Here is a 20,800-nt window from a genome sequence, read left to right on the forward strand (position 1 = left end):
TTTATTGTGAGAGGATGGAGAGATAATGGATATTTTTAAAGTAAGTAAATTGTATAATATGTTAGAAGGCAATGAATGCTACAGAAAAAAGAAAAAGAAAGCCAGACAAGGTGGATGAGGCATGCTGTGGTGGGGGAAGAAAGCAGGTTGCAAGATTAAGCAGAGTGGTTAGCATAGGCCTCTCTCAGAGAGTGAGTTTTGAATAAAGACTTAAAAGAAATGAGGAAAGCAGCCAGGTGCCTATGGGTGGGGGAGGGGGGGTGAGTGTCACAAGCAGTGGGGACAGCCAATGGAAAGACTGTGAGAAAGAACAGCAAGAGGACAGTGTGATCAGAGGGGAAGGAGTGAGATGCAGAGTAGAAGAAGGGGAGAGGCAGATCATGACGGCCTTGTAGATCACAGGAAGGCTTTGGCTGTTACTCTGAGGAAAATTGGAGTCACTGTTGTTTTGAGCAGAGGAGTGTCAGCTGATTTCTGTTTAAGAAAGATTACTGTGGGCCTGGGCATGGTGGTTCATGACTGTAATCCCACTGTTTCAGGAGGCCAAGACAGGAGGATTGCTTGAAGCCAGGAGTTTGAGACCAGCCTGGGCAAATAGCAAGACCTTGTCTCTACAAAAAAATAAAAATAAAAATAAAATAGGCAGATGCAGCAACATGTGCCTGTAGTCCCAGCTACTCAGAAGGCTGAGGTGGGAGGGTCTCTTGAGCCCAGGAGTTCGGGGGTACAATAACCTATGGTCATGCCCCTGCACTCCAGCCTGGGTGACAGAGTTAGATTCTGTCTCTAAAAAACAAACAAAAAATGATTACTGTGGCTGCTGTATTCAGAATCACCTGAAAGCAAGTGGCATACATGGTTCCCATATCCATTAATTCAATTACCAGAGCTTAAATAACACTAGTCTCCCAAGAACACTTCAAATCTTAGTTACCATCAAATAGTAACTAATCGCATAAAGTACAGATTGGGTTGATTACTCTTTTCAGTCCACAAATCACTGCATAAATAACAGATGCACATCATGATCAGTGACTAATCATTTCTTTCAAAGTTTTTTCACGTCCGTTGGTGACTGTTTATTATTCACATTACTCAGTTCATGCACAGACAGCAAAGTGTGTACTTGTGTCATCTTGTCTCACAGTGATAAACCCACATGACATTTTATAAAAATGAATAATCAAAAAAGGGGGAATTGGCCAACAAAGATGCAAATACAGCAAAGAAATGAAAAATTATGATGCTGAAAATGACATTCAATCAAAAGTATAGGGAGTTATAAAAGAAATAGCTGACCGTGGGACCATAGGAATGTTGACATTGGCACCATTCCAGAAACCCTGGAAATGCAGCCAGAGGAACTCAGTGAAGGTGAACAAAATTGACATAAATGAGAAAGTTGTAGCAAAAAGGATAAAGATGTCCCAGAGGAAGTAACATCAGCAAACAACTTCACATTGAAGGAACTCTTGGAGATATTTCACACTATTGAAAGTACGAAACATAAAATGTTGGAAGCTGATCCAAACTTCAAAAGGAATATGTCAGTTCACAGGCATAAAAATGATGCTCGCTGAGTATTGTAAGTTATAAAATGAGAAGAAGAAGGCAAGTACTGTTTAAACTACCACTGATGAGTTTTTTATAAAGGAATAAAACATTTTAATGCTCAATGTTTCCAATGCTTTAAATTATACTGTACGAAAAAAAGTTAGTTGTTAGTTTTACTAATTTATTTTGATTCCCCATAATTGATCCAGTTTTCCTAAGTTATTTGATCCCCCATTTAGTACAGTGTAACATATATATTACATAAATATATAAATTACATAATATATATTATATAAATTATGGATCAAAATAAATTAGTAAAATATATAATACATAAAACTCATAAATTTGTAAATTTGATAAATTAATAAATTATATATATATATATATATATTTGTGTTTTTTGAGACAGCCTTTTCCTCTGTCACCTAGGCTGGAGTACAGTGGTGCTATTATAGCTCACTGCAACCTCCACCTCCCCGGCTCAAGGGATCCTCCCACCTCAGCCTCCTGAGTAGCTGGGACTGCAGGCTCATGCCACCACACTCCGCTAATTTTTGCATTGTTTTAGTAGAGACAAGGTCTCACTATGTTGCCCAGCCTGGTCTCGAGCTCCTGGGCTGAAGCGATCTTCCTGCCTTGGCCTCCCAATGTGCTGGGATTACAAGCATGAGCTACTGCGCTTGGTCGTTCCCCTATATATTAATAATGGAATGAACAGTAAAGGAGTTTTTTAATGTTTTGGCAAAAATTTTTAAAGGTCACCGAACAATGGCAATTTTTCTCACTGATTAAGATTGCTTTGCACTGTTTCAGTTTTCATTTTCAGCATCCACACTATCATGCAGTAAGAACTGCCTGTATTTGGTGATAATGACTAGATCTGGGTTTTGACCGTGGAAGTTAGTGGCTGTGGTGAAGTGGAGGTAGTCTTGTAGTTGAAGACTTTTTGGCCCTCCTTTTAGGTAGAAAAATCTTGAATCCATAACAACTGTTGGCAAAAAGAAAAAGACTGGAAGAAAAGGTGGCAAAATGTCATCATGATTACTTCTGGGGGCAGGAAGTGCAGGAGATTGAAATGAAAAGAAGTTCATGTGAATCGTTAAAACAAAACAAAACAATAATCCACAGGCTCTGGGGCCAGATTGATGACTAACTGCATTAACTTTGAGTAAGTTCCCCAGCTTCTCTGTGCCCTAAGACCTCATCTATAAAATATAGATAATAGTATTATCTATATGACCTCATAGGTTTATCAAGATAAAATAAATTAATACTTATAAAACATTTATAAGTTTGATATGTAGTAAGGGCTCAATAAATGTTAACTATTATAATTATTGACATGTATACAGTTAAAAATAGAAGGTGTATTTTTTATTCATTCTCTACATTTCCACTCTTCAGGAATAATCACTGTTAACAATTTAATGGGTATCCATCCAGTTCTTTATTATGCAAACACACACATATATACATATATGTGTGCATAAATATATACACATATATATATGGGTATATGCTTATATATGTGTATATACACACACATACGTATTTGAAATAGAAATGGGATCATACAATGAATACTGTTTAACAGCCTGCTCTGTATACTTAGCAATATGTAAATATATCATTGACATCCTTGTAAGTCATAATGCAGATCTGCATTTTTTTTTTTTTTTTTTTTTTGAGACGGAGTTTCGCTCTTGTCACCCAGGCTCGAGTGCAATGGCGCAATCTCGGCTCACTGCAACCTCCGCCTCCCGGGTTAAAGTGATTCTCCTGCCTCAGCCTCCCGAGTAGCTGGGATTACAGACATGCGCCACCATGCCTGGCTAATTTTGTATTTTTAGTAGAGATGGGGTTTCTCCGTGTTGGTCAGGCTGATCTCAAACGCCTGCCTCGGCCTCCCAAAGTGCTGGCATTACAGGCGTGAGCCACCGTGCCCGGCCCAGATCTGCTTTTTTTTTAATGGTGGCATTTGTGTTCCAGAGTATGTACTATATTTTATTTAACCATTTCCTTACTGATGAATACTTAGCTTATTCTCAAATTTTTCACCTTTACAAATAATGCTACAATGATTTTGACGTTCTGCATATTTTTACACATTTATATGATTGCTTTTGTAGGACAGATTTCTACAAGTGAAATTGTTGAGTCAAAAGGTGTATGCATTTATAATATCTGCATATACTTCCAATTTCTCCTCCAAAGAAGTTGTACCAGTTTATCAATATATAAGCATGCCGTTTTCCCTAGGGCTTCATGCACTCTGGATATTATCAATCTTTAAATATTTTCCTACCTATTAGGCAATGTGGTATCTATCTCCTTAGGTTATAATTTGCATTTCTCTGATCACTATTGAGGTTGAGCATCTTTTCATATGTATATCGGTCATTTGCATTTCCTCTTCTGTGAATTGCTTGCTCAAGTCCTTTTCTGTGAGTCATTTTCTTTTTTATTTATACTTTTCTGTTTTTAAAAAGAAAGAGAAATATTTTGTATTTTTTAAGTAAACTTGTGATCTATTGTTGATCAACCATATTAGCAGTGGAAAGCATTTACTCAGTTCAAAAGAAAGGAAAAATTAAATATATATTTCTTGCTATGAGTTTCTTTTTGGGGGAAGGGGAACAGGAAACAATTTTAATTGCTTAATTCTGCTTTTCTCAATATAAAAATGACACTCCTCTCATTCCCTGGGCCTTCATACTGGAAGACACTATTTGGTCATTTCAAATTCATCGTGGACTTCTGACATATTCTTCTAAGTTGCTCAAGTTTAAACTTTTAAAATTTAATTCAATAGTTAATAGTTTAAGAGTTTTTTTTAAAAGCCATTTTTGAGGTTGATACAGAAGGAAGTACAGGGCTGCACAGTTATTTGATATATTCAGGCCCACTCTAACAACCCATTCTAACTGTTCAGACAGAGGCAGATGTATTTTTTTCTCTCAGAATTCTTTCAGAATGACCTCATAATTGGGCTGCCCCTGTAGGCTCAGCATTGAAGAATAATGAGTTTTTGAACCGTGAGGAGGACATGTTTTGAAACAGAAGCAAATAGTGCAGATTATTTACAATGCTGTCATCAAGGGAATCTGTGCTAGAATGGCTTGAAATGCTCCTGGGACTGAAGCTGGGTATGGCCATTGCAAAGAGTCCAGAGTGGCAATGGCTGGCTTTTCCTAACTCTTCCTGATTCCATTTTTCCTTCACATCAGTAACACGCTAATTGTTGAACAGCAGAGAGGCCAGCCCAAGCTGATTAACAGTCTGGCTTAGTGACAATTTAGTTGAGTTCCATTTCTTCTAAATGATCCTTCAGTTGTTCAGGGAAAAAACAAAGACACAGGGTAAGGTATGTTTGTGTTACCTTATTGTAACGTACACATAGGGGCATTTCTGTAGCCAAACACAGGAAGTATTAAAACTTTAGTAACCTGGTACCTCCTAGACTCTTTTCACTCATATATTCCATGAAAAGACATGCAGATGCTTTCTGACATTTTTACTCAGTGTCTTGACTATTAAATTCACCTTGAGCATTGTGTGTAATCTTGGATCCACCAGAAAGCAAGTATTTACCTTGACCATAATTAGTATCAAAGAAGTGTTATTAATATTTCAGGACACAAATTTAGATTACCAGAATCTGAAGAATTAGAATCTGAAGGTTTAAAGGTCATCTGATCTAATCTCCCTCCCAGCCTTGAGTGTGCCTTCCAGGTCTTCCCTCCCACCAAGCTCCCACCAAGTGGGGAGATATATCCTCAGTTCAGCTAGAATCTCTCCGGTGATATGGAGATACGGAGATCACTGTTACATGAGACAGCCCATCCATCTTAAAATAGCTCAGAGAGGTAGAAAGCTTTTTTTTATTGAACTGAATTTTTTCTTTCTTTAGATTCAACCCACTGAGCCAATGGGAGTCTAGTGGTGTCTCCCAGAACATGTCTAATCTCTGTTACACATCATAGACCTATAAATATTTGAAGATGGTTTCCTTCCCCCTCTTTCCTTAGCTCTACTTTACTACTGTTTCCACTCCAACAGTCAGATTAACTATTCCAAGCTTTTGTGACTTTTGTCATATCAAGCCCCTGGCTACTTCTGTAACCTAATCTTCTACCTGCCTGTGCTTCAGCCACATGACCTCCTTCTGTTCCTCAAATATGAAGTGCATATTCTCTTATATTTTCTTTTTCCACTGATGGAAATATTCTTCCTTCACCTAGCAGCAAGGTTTATTTCCTTACTTCATTTTTCTCAAATATCAGCTCCTCAGAGAAACCTCTCTTGACCATTGTATCTAAATGACCTCCCCCATCTCCATCACTATCCCTTTATCCTGATATATTTTCTTCATAGTATACATCACTCCCTGAAAGATGATTATGTATCCATTTTTGAGTTTGTATATCTCTCCAGCTAAATATAAGTATCATGAGGACAGGGACATCTGTCTTGTTTAGCATATACTAGGTGCTCAGTAAACATTTGTTGAACAAATCATTAGGGTATGATTTTTAATTCCTTTACCATTCTGATGACTCTCTTGACTTTGTCCATATCTCTGTCAAAGTGCAGTGGCCAGAACTGAGAACAGAAACCTAGCTATGATCTAACCAAAGCAGAATAAACCAGCATAACCACATTATTTAATCAATGAGTATATCCCATGTAGCAGGCACCATGCTATGTCATGGATATATGACAGTGAAGAAACTCAACATGGTCCCTGCCTCCAGAGAACTCGTCTAATATCTTATAGAAATTACTCCAGTATGATGAAATCTTAAGATCACATTTGCTCTTTTGGAGGCTATATCATACATCACACTGGAGAATTTACAGTCAATTAAGACTTTAAGCTTCTTATGAGAATTTGGGGGCTCGATTCAAAATCATGTATTTATTCTAACTATTAAACTTCATTGAGTTAAATTTCATCCATCATTCTATTCAAATTATTTGGGGATCTCAGTTCAATCAGTCTTAACCCTAGTCTCCCCAGCTTGTGTCATATCTAAATTTAATAGGTGGACCGTCTACATATGCAAGTCATCTATAAAAGCATTCACTAGGACAAAGATAAAGACAGACCTCTGAGGCACACCACCAGAATATTTCTTTCACCTTAACACCCAAGTCACAATACTTACAAATGCCTTAATGCTGTTCAGATTTTCTGCCTACCATGTTTTCATATGTGCCAATCTGAAAACCCTGTTAAAGAAGGAGCTGAGGTTAGTCAGACATACCTTGTTCCTAGTGAACCCATGTTGGGTACCAAAGACTGTTTCTGGACCTGAGAAACCACTATAAATTCTGTTAGGTAAACAGAACTTTAGTTCTGTTTTAGTACTTTAGTACAAAATTTTAGTTCTGTTTTAGTACTTTAGTATTTCATTTGATATATTTATTTGATCTTAACATCAAGATGTTTGATTTGTTGTGTCCAGAATCTAACTTCTTGCCATTTTTGAAAATCAAAGTAAATATCCATTTCCTTGATTCTAGATCTTCTCCTATTTGCTCTGATTCCTCAAATTGTGCCATAATAGCATTCTTTCTCTCTCTTTTTTTTTTTTTTTATCTCTCCTTGTGTTCTTTTTTCTAAGGTTTCTTAGATGGGGACACAGTCACCTGGGTAATGAGCTTAAAACACATTTAGATAGCACCTATGTGTTCTCTTACACTCTCATCTCAATTTGAGGCTTCTGCTGCTTCTCACTAAGGTTTTCTCTAAACTTTTCCGTCTTAAGCTCATTGTCTTTTACAGAGAATACAACTAATTTGGAGTTCTAGGGTTCTGCTTTTCCTGTCTTTCATCAGCAATACCCCTCCAGCCCGAAGCAGCACATCTCTCCCCTGACTTCTTTGTTCTTGCTCAGAACAAAGCTAACAAAGCCTAATGCTTTTATCCGAGACATTGTCTCCTAATCTCAGCTCACTGGAGACTTTCACCTTTCTGAAATTATTTACATCAGCTGGTGATCCTCTTTGGGTTTGTCCTTAGTGTCATTTCCTACCACTCTCCTCACACTCTGGTTCAGCCACAAGCACCTCCTTGCTGTTCCTTAAAGATGCTAAGCCTATCCCCAAATCAGGGCATTTGCATTTGCTGAAATTTCGCCGTGTAATACTCTTTACCCAGATATTTGCAAGGTTTGCCCCTCACCTCATTCAGATCTCTGCCCATCATTGGAGAGGCTATCCTTGACACTGCAGCTGAAATGGCAAAAACATATACCCACCTCTGCTGGTCACTCTCTGCCCCTTACCCTGCTTCATTTTTCTTCTCTACTATTATCACTATCTGATATATTTATTTGGCTACTGTTTGTCCCCTCTCACAAGTTGCACAAAAACAAGGATCTTCATCTATTTTGTTTATTGCTACAACATATTAGTTGCTCAATAAATATACGTTAAAAATTAGTGATGCCTAGGTATTTCTCTTAGAATACTGTTCCATGAGACCTCCATATCATTTTTTCACCTTCAAGCTGACTTTGAAGACCCTAACAACAAATAATACTGCTGTGAGAATATTGATTGAAAAGTGGCTGTAAATACCACTTACCACCTAGAATTTCTATGAGCTAATCCAAGTGATGTGCAAAGCCAACTTGAAGGTCTAGTACAGAGTGGTACAAGTGGGATTGCAGTATTCACTGGAATTTAGTGAGACAAATCTAAAGACTGGAGGCAGAAGAGGCTGTCTTATCTAAAAGGAGCATATCTGCTAGGTGAAGTCATATGCCATATTAAATTGACATTCACTTAGATCTATAGGTGTTGACATAGAAAGAAGTCCATGATACTGTTACATTTAAAGGGCTGAAAATGGAACATGTGCAGTGTGTTTCCATTTATATGCAATTGAGTATATACACACAGGTATCTATAGGGATATATTAAAACATTAATATGGTTATCTCTAGATAGTGCATTTTATTTTAGATTTTAAAAAATTATTTTTGTTTCTGAGTTGTTTGATTTTCTATTAAAACAATGGTGTGGATTATTTACTCCCCTCTCCAAAAAATATGGAGTTTTTTTTAAAGGGTTCACAGGAACTGGAAAAAGTGGTTGCCTCTGGAGAGTAACTGGAGAACTAATAAAGAAGAAGGGGCACTCACTTTTCACATAACTTGCCATTACACTGGTTGATTTTATACCATGTGCTTGTATTTTTTTAAATATACATGTGATTAGAAAGCTTTGAATTTGAGAATGCATGTTATGTATATTATACGTGGGATGTTAAAGGTCACCTGACTGGAAAGCAGCTGAAAAGGTATTAAAATTGTGATGACAATTTCTGGAACCTAGAGAAAACAACTAGAGAGACTGTGAGTCTAGAATTAATTCTGACTAACTGGGGGAGTGGTTCAGAAAGTGGAAGTGATGAAAATGTAACAAGAGAATGAATGAAGAACCACAAAGTCTTTGACCACCAGAAAGGGTGATATGGTTTGGCTGTGTCCCCACCCAGATCTCATCTTGAATTGTAGTTCCCATAATCACCATGTGTTGTGGGAGGGACCGGGTAATTGAATCATGGAGGCAGTTACCCCCATGCTGCTGTTCTCATGATAGTGAGTGAGTTCTCATGAGATATGATGGTTTTATAAGGGGCTTTTCCCCCTTTTGCTCGGCACTTCTCCTTCCTGCTGCCACTTGAAGAAGGACCTGTTTGATTCCCCTTCCATCATGATTGTAAGTTTCCTGAGACCTCCCCAGCCATGTGGAACTGTGAGTCAATGAAACCTCTATCCTTTATAAATTACTCAGTCTCAGATAGTGCTTATAGCAGCCTGAGAACAGACTAAGACAAGGGGTATTTGTGAGGTCCAATGTCCAAGTTCATAGCATGACTCTACAAGAAAAGATAATTCAAGAGGGTTGGGAAGCTCTCTAAAATGCCACTCTGGCTACAACTACAAATTATCTAATAGAAGAAAATGTAGAGAGGCTCTTAAGGAAGCCAGATAATTTGTATAGGGAAGTCTCAGAAAACTCAGATTTTTAAACATTACTTTTTTAAATAAAAAGGGGCTTATTTTTTACTGGGCAGGAAAGACAGTAACCAAAGAATATGTTGTAGTATTATAATTGATAAAGAAGAAAACCAAGGCAGAGTAAGGGGGCAGAGACTGACCAACAGGAGTGCATGTTAGTGTGTGCTCTTTCTGCTATAGTGGTGAGCATGGCCTTTCTGATGAGGAGAAATTGGGAGGAGATCTGAATTAAATGAGAGAGCAAGGCCTGCACATATCTGGTAAAGAGCATTTCAGGTGAAGAGTTCAGAAAATTTAAAGGCACTGATGTGGGAATATGCTTGGTGTGTTTAAGGAACCACAAGGAAGTGAATGGAGCTAGATCAAAGTGCTGGGACAGTAGTAGGGATGATCTCAGAGGAGTAGAAGGGAGCCAGATCACACAGGGCCTTGTAGGCCATGACAAGAACTTTTAATTACATTCTGAGATGGGTTAGCATTGAAAGGTTCTGAGCAGAGGAGTGGTATGATCCGACAAGAATGGAAGGAAGGGGGAGCATTTTAGAGGCTACTCTATTAATATAGGCAAGAGATGTTAGTGGCTTGGACCGAAGTCCCAATGATAGGGCTGGGGGGACAGAGTTACTTTTCAGATATAAGTTGAAGACAGAGTCAATGTGATTTTTAATGGGGGTAGATATAAGATGCTAAAAAAAAAAAAAAAAGATAAAAGTCCAGGATAAGTCCAAGATATTTGGTCTGAGCAACTAGATAAACAGTGATTGTATTTATTGAGATCAGAACATTTGAAGGATGATCAAGTTTTGGGAGATGGGGATCTAGAATGGGTTTTAGACATACTTAAAGATATCTATTCAAGTGGAGATGTTGAGTTGAAGATACATTCATGAGTGTGAAATGTAGGGAGTGGTCTTTGCTAGAGATGTAAATTTAGGAGTTCTCAGCATATACATTTTTGTGTGTGTGTTTTTGAGACAGAGTCTTGCCCAGGTTGGAGCACAATGGCACGATCTCAGTTCACTGCAACCTCCACCTCCCAGTTTCAAGTGATTCTCCTGCCTCAGCCTTCTGAGTAGCTGGGATTATAGGCACCCACCACCAGGCCAGGCTAATTTTTGATCATGCACGTAATATTTAAAGCCAAGGGACTGGAGAAGCAAATGGACAGGGCTGCTAATTAGGCTTTTCTTAACATCGCCATCCCCCTTCCTTTTCCCTACTTGTACTATACCTGGCCACAGGGATAACTTATCGCTTGGACATATTTCATGTACCTTTTCAATGTGTTCTGCTCTACTCTTTTGACCTTCATATGACAAAAAACAAAGGGAATGTGGTCAGCATAGAGAGTAGGAATTGAACACAGGAAAAACAAGCAGCCACTTTCATGAGACGAATTCTGGGGTCCTGAGAAAAATCTATTACTCCCAATATGTGGTAGCTTCCTTAGCTGCTGGCAGAATCCTCTGATCATTCCTGCCCCACCCCGCTTTTTTTTTGAGATGGAGTTTTGCTCTTGTAGCCCAGGCTGAAGTGCAATGGCGTAGTCTTGGCTCACTGTAACCTCTGCCTCCTGGGTTCAAGTGATTCTCCTGCTTCAGCCTCCCGAGTAGCTAGGATTACAGGCATGCACTACCACACCTGGCTAATTTTGTGTTTTTAGTAGAGACGGGGTTTCACCATGTTGGTCAGCCTGGTCTTGAACTCTTGACCTCAGGTGATCCACCTGCCTTGGCCTCCCGAAGTGCTGGGATTAGAGGTATGAGTCCCTGCGCCTGGCTTTTTTTTTTTTTTTTTTTTTTTGAGACTGAGTCTCACTCTGCTGCACAGGCTGGAGTGCAGTGGTGTGATCTCTGCTCACTGCAACCTCTGCCTCCCGGATTCAAGCAATTCTCCTGCCTCAGCCTCCCGAGTAGCTGGAATTACAGGCACATGCCACCACTCCTGGCTAATTTGAGTAATTTTTTTTTTTTTGGTAGAGATGCGTTTTCACCATGTTGGCCAGGCTGATCTCAAACTCCTGACCTCAGGTGATCCGCTCGCCTCGGCCTCTCAAAGTGCTGGGCTTACAGGTGTGAGCCACCGCACTCGGCCTTCTGATCATTTCTTTATTAAGCTGGAAGTGGAGAACTTTTGTTGTTGTTGAACATTCATAACCTCTAGAGGGGAGATTTTGCAGGCCACTACACACACACACACACACACACACACACACACACACACACAAACACACACATACACACAACACTTTAAAGAAAATAAACTATTCAACTAATCTACTTTTAAATTGAGGAAACATTGACGGTTAACCACAGAAAGTATTAAAATTATGCTTCACTCCCATATAATGGCTGGTTTTAGAGGGGAGAGAGGGGAAAGAAGGAACAGGGACATCCCTGTTCCCCCGCCCCCGCCCCACCCCCCACTCCCCACAGACACAGCAGAAGAAAAGGTGAGGAAGTCATATTGTATTCCTATTTTATACAGTGTAGTGTGCTAGGCCTTGTACATTAATTAGGTCAATAATCCTCACAACAATTCTATCATTGGACCCAGTTTACAGATGAGGAAGTTAAGGCTCAAAGAGTTTAAGTTACTTGCCCAAATTATCATGCAAGTCGCAGAGCCAGTAATCCAGCCCGGGGTTCCTCTAGGCTTTAAAGCCCATATGCTGCCAAACAAGGTAGAGAGGTACAGGAGGTGAGAGTGTTCATCAGAGGCCACATCCTGGGGCTCTGGGATTCACAGTATTTATTACTTGTTACCCCCCTCTTTGAAATGCTAATTAGCTGTTGTTCCCTGCTTGTTAAGTGCTTTCATCCTTAAAGCTTGACAGGTTTTTTCCTTTTTTCTTTTTTTACTAAATGAGGCAACCATCATTTCCCACAAAGCTGCAAACTATTTTCTACCCTTAGGCCAAATAAGCAGAGTCATCCCAGGTTTAGGTAAAGCCCAGCCCAAGGACCTTATCTGACCCCCCATTCTCCCAATGGTAAAGGTTTGAATTCCCATTAAAATGCAGATGCCTCTAAAAGGAGTTAACACTAGCACTGTCAGGTCTCTGCAGTCCGAGGGTATATGAGTATATGACCTTTTCCAAGGGCAGGTTTGAATGGGGATGAAGTCATATTTGCAAAAGAACCCTGGACAGTGAGCTGGCCCCAGCCAGGAGAGCATATGTACACACCTCCCCCGTCTCCCCACACACCAGGTGGATTTAAGGCCGTTTAAGAGGAGGTGGCTTCAATTTAGCAATAAAAAGCCAGTATCATCGCTTACAAACTGTGTGACTATTTGGCTAGTGGTTAGGAATCAGGGAGTCAGGACAGGATCTGTGTCCTGAAGGGTAAAGCAGAACTGTTCATTCTAGGATTTGTTGGGCCTGAAGGAGCTTCTTTCTACCAATTAACCGCATTAAAGTGGAACTTGGGCTTCCAAGACAATGCAGGGGCCCCATCTATGTACAGCCAGAATAGTCTAAAGTCTTAATGGCATTTATTTTCCTCTCAAGTTGTTAGAATAAAACAGTGTGCCATATTTATCCCTTCTTCTGCCAAGAAAGCTCTCCTGATGTTCTCGGTTGAAATTAATTTTCCCCTCCCCATATTCCCATAGCCTTTTGCTTGCACTTCTATTCCAGCGTTTCCCAGTGTCATCCTTATTAGTGTTATTTATGTGCGCATCTGTCTCCTCTTCCAGATTATGAGCTCCTGGAGGGCAGAAACTGCAGTTTATTCATCTCTATCCCCCATGGGCTGCACACAGGGCCCCGCACATCGTAAGCACTCAATAACTGCTTGTTGAATTGAATTATTACTCTCTACCGCTGTTGTTGTGATTGGCATTCATTCATTTAGTCCATTTGCCCCTTAAAAATCTCCTGCCAAGACTCAAAAGTAAAGATGCACAAGTACAAAGAGACATGTTTTTAACAGTTGATGTTTTTTACTTGTTTCATTTAAAATGGACCCAAATGAAAAGAAATGTTTTCTTAGGTCTTGCCGGCTAGACAGAAAAGGTTATCAGCAGATTAAGAGGAGTGTTCTCAAACAGCATCAAGTGTCTTTCAGTGTGACCAATGGGTGAAGACCTTTGTGTGGCCGTAAAAGCTGGCTTAAAGGCTACTTGGATTCATTCTGACATATGTCATATTTTCAAGAGAGGTGTTGAAAGCAGAGTCAAACAAACAGCCAGTCAAAGTGCCGCTCAGCGCACTGGAATTGGCATTACATGAAAGCGTTAGTGAGCACCTCGGTGAACAAGGTTGCCCCCAGGTCTTCCCCGGGAGCTACTTGAAAAGTTGAGAAGTGTACTGGGGGTTCTCATCACATAGTCACATTCCCTCCATTCCACGCCATGTAGCTGGCCTCACGGACACTTTGTAGTGACTACATTCTAGCTGTCAGGTTGTGTTTGTCTTCAGTGCATTGATGCTATCAGTTGAAAACAGCACATCTTTATAGACGGACACATTTTAGGAAACTCCATGGCATATAAAGTACAGATTCCCCTTGCTGTTGCTGACATAATTGAACATGGAAAGAGAAGACCTACCATCTGCAGCACCAAAGGCAAGGAAGGGTTCAGGCAGGCAGGCAAGGTGTGAATGTTTACTGTGCACCTACTATGTTCCTGGTCCTGGGCTGGTGGTAACCACAACAGAGAGTATTAGTCCTTGTGGAACTTAGAGCTCTTGGGCTGGGGCAGGGAATTGGGGGGAGGTGGAGGTAGAGAAGGGACAGGGCAGAGACAGGCATTTAAAAAATAATTCTATAAATCATGAGCTACTTCCACATACAACAAGAACTCTTGACAGAGATACTAAGAGAGCAAGCAAAAGAAAAGTCAGACCTAATTTACAGGGTCAGGGAAGCTTCCTCTGAGGGAATGTGCTTTCAATAGAGACCTGAAGCATGAGTAGGAATTAACCAGGTGAAATACATACATGCATGTTGGAGGGGGTAGTGTTTAGGGAAATGGAACAGCATTTTCAACAGCACTGCAGTAGACAAGATCATTGCACACTGGAGGATTCGGAAGAAGGCCATATGCTTGCAGCATGGGAGGTGAAGTGAAGTGCTACAGGTGTAAGAGGTGAATTTGGAGAAGTCAGCTGGATTGTGTAGGGCTTCACATCTGGGTTTTTTTTTTTTAATCTTGAGGAGTTAGGGAGGAACAAAGAAATAGCTTTCAAATGCTATTCAGCAGGAATGGAAAAGGAAAAGGAATGGACTGCTGATACATGCTACAGCATGGATGAACCTCAAAAACATTATACAAAGTGAAGGAAACCAGTCACAAAATACCCAATATTGTTTGATTCCACTGATATGAAATGTCCAGAAATGGTAATGCACATTAGTGGTTGCCCGGGAGTGGGAATCAGGAATGGAAGAAAATGGGCATAAGATACATTTTGGGAGTGATTAATTCAATTATAAAATTGAATTATGGCAATGATTGTACAACTCTGTAAACTTATTTAAAAATCATTGAGGTATATACTTAAAAATAAATTAATTGAAAGTTAAGAAATCGGCTGGGTGCGGTGGCTCAAGCCTGTAATTCCAGAACTTTGGGAGGCCGAGGCGGGCGGATCATGAAGTCAGGAGATTGAGACCATCCTGGCTAACACGGTGAAACCCCGTCTCTACTAAAAATACAAAAAATTAGCCAGGCGTGGCGGTGGGTGCCTGTAGTCCCAGCTACTCGGGAGGCTGAGGCAGGAGAAAGGCGTGAACCCGGGAGGCGGAGCTTGCAGTGAGCCGAGATCATGCCACTGCACTCCAGCCTGGGTGACAGAGCGAGACTCCATCTCAAAAAAAAAAAAAAGTTAAAAAATAAGAAATGAGCTTTCTGCTCTCCCGTGGAAGGAATGTGAGACGTGTCAGATAAGGAGAAGAACCTTCTTCCCATGCAGCCTAAACCACCCCAAGGGCTGTGAAGGTCTCAGACCCTACTCTTAGTCTCTATGGGCAAAGAAGGCTAGGAGGAAATCTGTTGATTTCCTTGGCGCCTTTAGCTCCATGTGGAGAGTGGGCACAAGCAGACCATATCTTCAGAACTATGAATTGGGCACAAAATAGGAGTGGTTAGTTACCCAAAAGATAGCTGTCATTTTTGTAGATAGGAAAACAGAAGTGTCCATGATCAGCCATTAGAAGAGAGTAATTAGAGCTCAGTGAACACCTCTGCTTTCCAGAAGGTACACTCTCACATTGGTTCCTGGCCAGAGAGCCAAAGGAAGCTGGGCCATGATAAGAATTACAAGCTAACTGCCCATCCAGGTGTTAGGGGGACAATGCCATCACTTATGAGCCTCTATGGTCCCTTGGCCTCTTCTGAGGGCAGCCTCCATCTATTAAATTTCAACAGTTTTCATAATAGTCACCTAATTAGGGGATTGAGAGTGAAATCAGGGGGAAATCTATGCCTCATTCACTGGAAAGCAGTGACTTTCCTGTACTGTGGATGAGAGACAAAAGATCATAACTGATTTTCTGCCCTTCCCAAGGGAACAGTTTGTAATAGTCTAAAGCAATCAAGCAGAAAAATGAATTGGCTTTCCCACTCTGCAGTCCTAGGGGAAAGTATTATAAAAGGTCACCAAATTGCTATATTTGTGTAATTAAATCCAACACTTTGATCAATTTGATGAGGACAGCATTCTCTGTTGCCTTTGAGATCTGTAAACCAACTCTCTCTTCTCTGGCTTTGCTGACTTTCTAGCTGATGTTCATAAGTAACATCAAAGGCTTGCTTTTGATGAGAGCCCATATCTTGCTTTCATACCAACAGAATTGTCCATGGAAATAATAAAATGACAAGACTAAAATTGAAGGAAGTGATAGGAATACAGAGGGAATGGCTTCAAATGAATGAGTTTCTGAATTATAGGCACTCTAAAACAAGTCTGCTACTTGGGGAATATTTCCCATGTGCCGTTTGATGAAATCAATGTTCATTTGAAGAAATAGACCTTCTGCTCCTCTAAGTTCTCTTTGCTGTTAAGTTAGCAATGAATGCAACCAAAAAGGGTATGACTGGACAAGACCAGACAAGACCACCATCTGTTCCCAATGGAAGGTTGCACAAACAGTCTCTGTTCTGCCACTGAGATGCTCTCTGTGTAACTTTGACTTAACTGACTTAACTTCTAGGAGCTGTGCTCCCTCTTCCCCCAGCCCACATTCTGTTTAGAACATAACTAACTGCACCTTTTGTATTTCTTGGTCTCTCCTTCTGGTCTTCCTTCTGACCATCAGGAGGATGCCAAAGAAAGAGCGCTCATCACACTTGCAGTGAATACCAAAAGTTAAGAGTCAGAACTTGGCAGAAGATGAACCACTTACTGGTATGATGACCTTGGGCAAGTTACTAAAACCGTACACCTTCGTTTCTTCATTTCCAAAATTAGGATAATAGAAACAACCTCACAGGATTGTTGTGAGATTAAAAGTAGTTTGAAACCTGTAAAGTACTGAAAACATTGCCTATATCACAGTAATTGTACATTCTTCATTAAAGCAACCACTGGATTGAATACCTAGTATGTGTAGAAAGTGCTGTGGGGCATATGGTACATTACGTGAAGATTATACGAGTGTGTGAAAGGCAACATAGTATAGTGGAAAGAACATGAACTTGGACTCAGAAATCTGGTTTAAATCACCACTCTGACTCTTGCTCTGTGACCTCAAGCAGATAACCCAAACTCTCTGATTCTGTCTCCCCATCTGTAGCATGGGGTCGATGACAACTTACATGGTTCTGCTGATAATTAAATAACATAATGCACATGAGAGGTTCACAAATCTACAGGGGGAGCACCTACAGCCTAGTACATGAGGGATGAATAAATATAAGACTGATTTTTCTTAGGCATGAACTATGAACCTCTCACCAAATGCACCTTCATAGCCAGGAAAAAGACAATTTCAAAGCTGTCTGTGTTTGCAACCATTATGTTACTCTGTTTTACTTTTAAATTTTCCTGCTCCCTTATTTATAGATGGAGACACTGAGGCATAGGAATACTGTTGAAAAGAAATGGCAGGCAAGGATTTGAAACTATCAATTCCCATCCTCTCTAATCTTGCCTCTTTGTTCCAAATAAACTGAAATTAAAAGTGAATTATTATCACTTAATTCACAAAAATGCCATAGTATGTATTTTCTCTCCCTACAGTGTATCTGAAATAGTAGACTTTATTCAATTATTTTTTTATTTTTATGTTTATCTTCTGTCTACTTGTAGTTTATTGGAAGCTTTTGGGAGTGCCCCAGTTTCTCCCTTTCATGAAGGGCTTGGATAATGAGACTTGGATAATGAAGGTGCCTGCCAGCTCTGATATTATGCATTTATAGGAATGTCTCGAAATTTCAAGAATGCATGCAATGGTGTTTCCTTAGTAAATGTCCTTGTAAAAGAAGGTTATGTCCACCTTTCTTTGTATAATCCCATCGGATACTTTGGGAGATCACTAGGAATAATTAACGTGTTCTGGATGACGCGTGCTTAGCTAATTGGGCTGAAAGCCAGGGTTGGTTAGCAAGTTGGCTGAGTGCCAAGTAGCAGGTGTCTGCATAGAGTCAGCACTGATTCTTTATTCAAAGAAGGGAGGAAGACCTATGCATGTTTTGTTTTTGAGAAAGTTTGTCTAGATTTTGCCTCACTCCCACACTCATTTAAAAATGGTGAGATGAAAAAAGTTTATTAGCACTAAAACAAAGATTTCTTTTACTATAGTTTTGTTTCTTTTCACCATTTTCAGTCTGGATTTTAAGAGGTCACTACATGTTCCTACCGGTCTTTAATTACCTTGTATTTTGATTGGAGGCACACAACCAAGATTATTTTATGAAGTTTTGCTTCGAGGCAAGTTGGATTGGGGCTCTTTGCACAGAGATGACTTTTCCTAATCTACTCCCAATTGTTTAATGTTTTGCATTTCCAAGTTAGTCTATCATTTTTACCTTTGGGTTAATTTGTAGTATAGTTCTTCAAGCAACACATTTAAATTATTCACTTCCCTCCTTCCAAGTATAAAATTTCTATTCATCAGAAACCTTCCAAGGAAAAGTTAAGAACATTCAGTGATGGGCACATGGGTATTTAAGCAGGATTTCTGGATCTTGTAAGTGGGGAACAACATTCCCTACATACCACTGATAAATAAGCATCTCGGAATATGCATTCGAATCACTGCCCTCAGGGGTCATTTGGATAAACACATGCTTGAGTTTATAGAGGTAGGGTTTCCCTTGGCCTGAAAAAAAACTGGGCTAGAGAAACTTTTCCATGAATTTTAGGAATTTTGCTGCAAATAATAGAATCCCACTTGAGCTAGCATTATAAAGATTCTAGAAGTCTCGCAGAACTCTAGGGTAGGAAGTGAAAACCCACCAGGAAGCAAGGCAGCCATTGTCTCTCTTTTTCTCTCTGGTCTCTCACCTCTGTATCTTCCAGCAGCATGTCTTCTTCAATCTCTACTTGCAGAAGGGTTTTCTCAACATTCTCTCTTCGTCTATTGAAAATGTCCCCCAGTGTTTAGAAGTCCCTGGGCTATTTTGTGAAAAGAAATGTTGTAATTTTAGAAAGGCTATTGGTGGCATTGATTGCTTTCCTAGCAAGAAAACAAAGGGAGAGTAGTGGATGATCTCTTCCCGCTCTTCTAACTCTGACTTCTTATGATCCTGTAGGGATCTGAATGTATCTTAGAAAATAGTCTAGCTATTAAGTACCATTTTTCTTCAAGTATACAATTGTATCAATTTGTTAGACATCTCAGATCACATTGGGCAGTAGTTGTGAATGAAACCACTCCTCTGTCAGCAGGATAGAAAATTTGTGGTACATGGGAAGCACCACAGCTCTCTCTCCCCCAGCACCTGACAGACACCCATGGCCATGGCTTTCTTCCCTGATGCTCCCAGAGCTGGCCTCAAAATCCTTCTCAGAACCAACTGGATAAACAAAATGTGGTCCATCCATACAACAAAATATTATTCAGAAATAATAAGGAATGAAGTATTGTTACATGATACAACATGGATGAAATTTGCAAACATGATGCTAAGTAAAAGAAACAGGCAGAAAAGACCACATATTATATGATTCCATCTATGTAAAATGTCCAAAATGGGAAAATCCGTAGAGGCAGAAAGGGCTCTGGTGGTTGCCAGGAGCTAGGGGGAGGGGATAATTGGGGAGGGACTGCTTAATGCATATGAGATTTCTTTTTGGGGGTGATGAAAATGTCTTGGAATTACATTGCAGTGATAGGTTGCATAATCCTGTGAATATATGAAAGCCATTCAAGTGTATACTTTAAAAGGGTGAATTTTATGGTATGTGAATTTTACCTCAATTAAAAAAGAATCCTTCTTAGCACAGCACTCCAGGGAACCACCACTAGTGGAATTAGCATGTGTCATAAAATCTCAAGTTTTGCTATTTAGGTTTTTGAGTCCACCTGTGCATGAGCTGAGATCCCTTCCAGCTATGCACTACACAATTACAGACCTTTGGGTTTTTTCTTCTACTGGCATGTTATACCATTTCCCCTCTCTATTTATTCTCTATGCCTCCAGCACCAGTGGAACATTCTCTGTGAAGCCTTTTTTCCTTACTCTCTCCACCTCTACCTTCACCCCAGAACAACTAAATTCCCTATTCTCTGCACACCAACAGCACTTTGTGTATCACTCTAGCCCAGTCCATATCACACTGTATTGTAATTGTGTACTTATTGCTCAGAATTTCCTTCTCGATGGCCTTCCTCATCTTTGTACCTGCAACCCCTCCACAGAGCCTGGTCCAGAGCAGTCTCCCTCAGAAAATAAATAAATAAATAAAATATGGTCTCAGACCTCAGGATAACTACAGATTATTAGGAGACAGATATTCAATTAAAAAGCATGTGCCCAAAATTAGACACTTGGATATGTGGGCCCTGGAGAAGAAAATGATTGAAGAGGCATCCCGGAGAAAGTGACATTTGAGCCTAGCTTTCACATAAGTGAATAAGATTTCTCCAGATGGAAAGACTATGTGTGGTGCTGGAGTATGAGGAGGTGACTTCTAACATTCTAGGTAGAGGAAATAACAGCTGCTGGGACAAGCATGCCAAAGTGCATGGCACATCCTACGGCTCTAAAAATAGGCTGCTTATGACTGGCAGCCGAAGAGAGAGGTTGGGGTCAGGGCA

The 20,800-nt window shown here is 40.0% G+C and overlaps 2 annotated features.

Moving 5' to 3' along the window:
• Positions 7,212-7,713: an enhancer, noted in NCBI's record as "NANOG hESC enhancer chrX:139431717-139432218 (GRCh37/hg19 assembly coordinates)". NCBI's record gives its function as "activates a minimal SCP1, AML or CMV promoter by ChIP-STARR-seq in primed H9 embryonic stem cells {active_cell/tissue: H9 hESC(primed)}" and the evidence as "EXISTENCE:reporter gene assay evidence [ECO:0000049][PMID:30033119]".
• Positions 12,101-12,967: an enhancer, noted in NCBI's record as "NANOG hESC enhancer chrX:139436606-139437472 (GRCh37/hg19 assembly coordinates)". NCBI's record gives its function as "activates a minimal SCP1, AML or CMV promoter by ChIP-STARR-seq in naive and primed H9 embryonic stem cells {active_cell/tissue: H9 hESC(naive and primed)}" and the evidence as "EXISTENCE:reporter gene assay evidence [ECO:0000049][PMID:30033119]".

Source organism: Homo sapiens, chromosome X (assembly GCF_000001405.40).
Source record: "Homo sapiens chromosome X, GRCh38.p14 Primary Assembly".
NCBI lineage: Eukaryota > Metazoa > Chordata > Mammalia > Primates > Hominidae > Homo > Homo sapiens.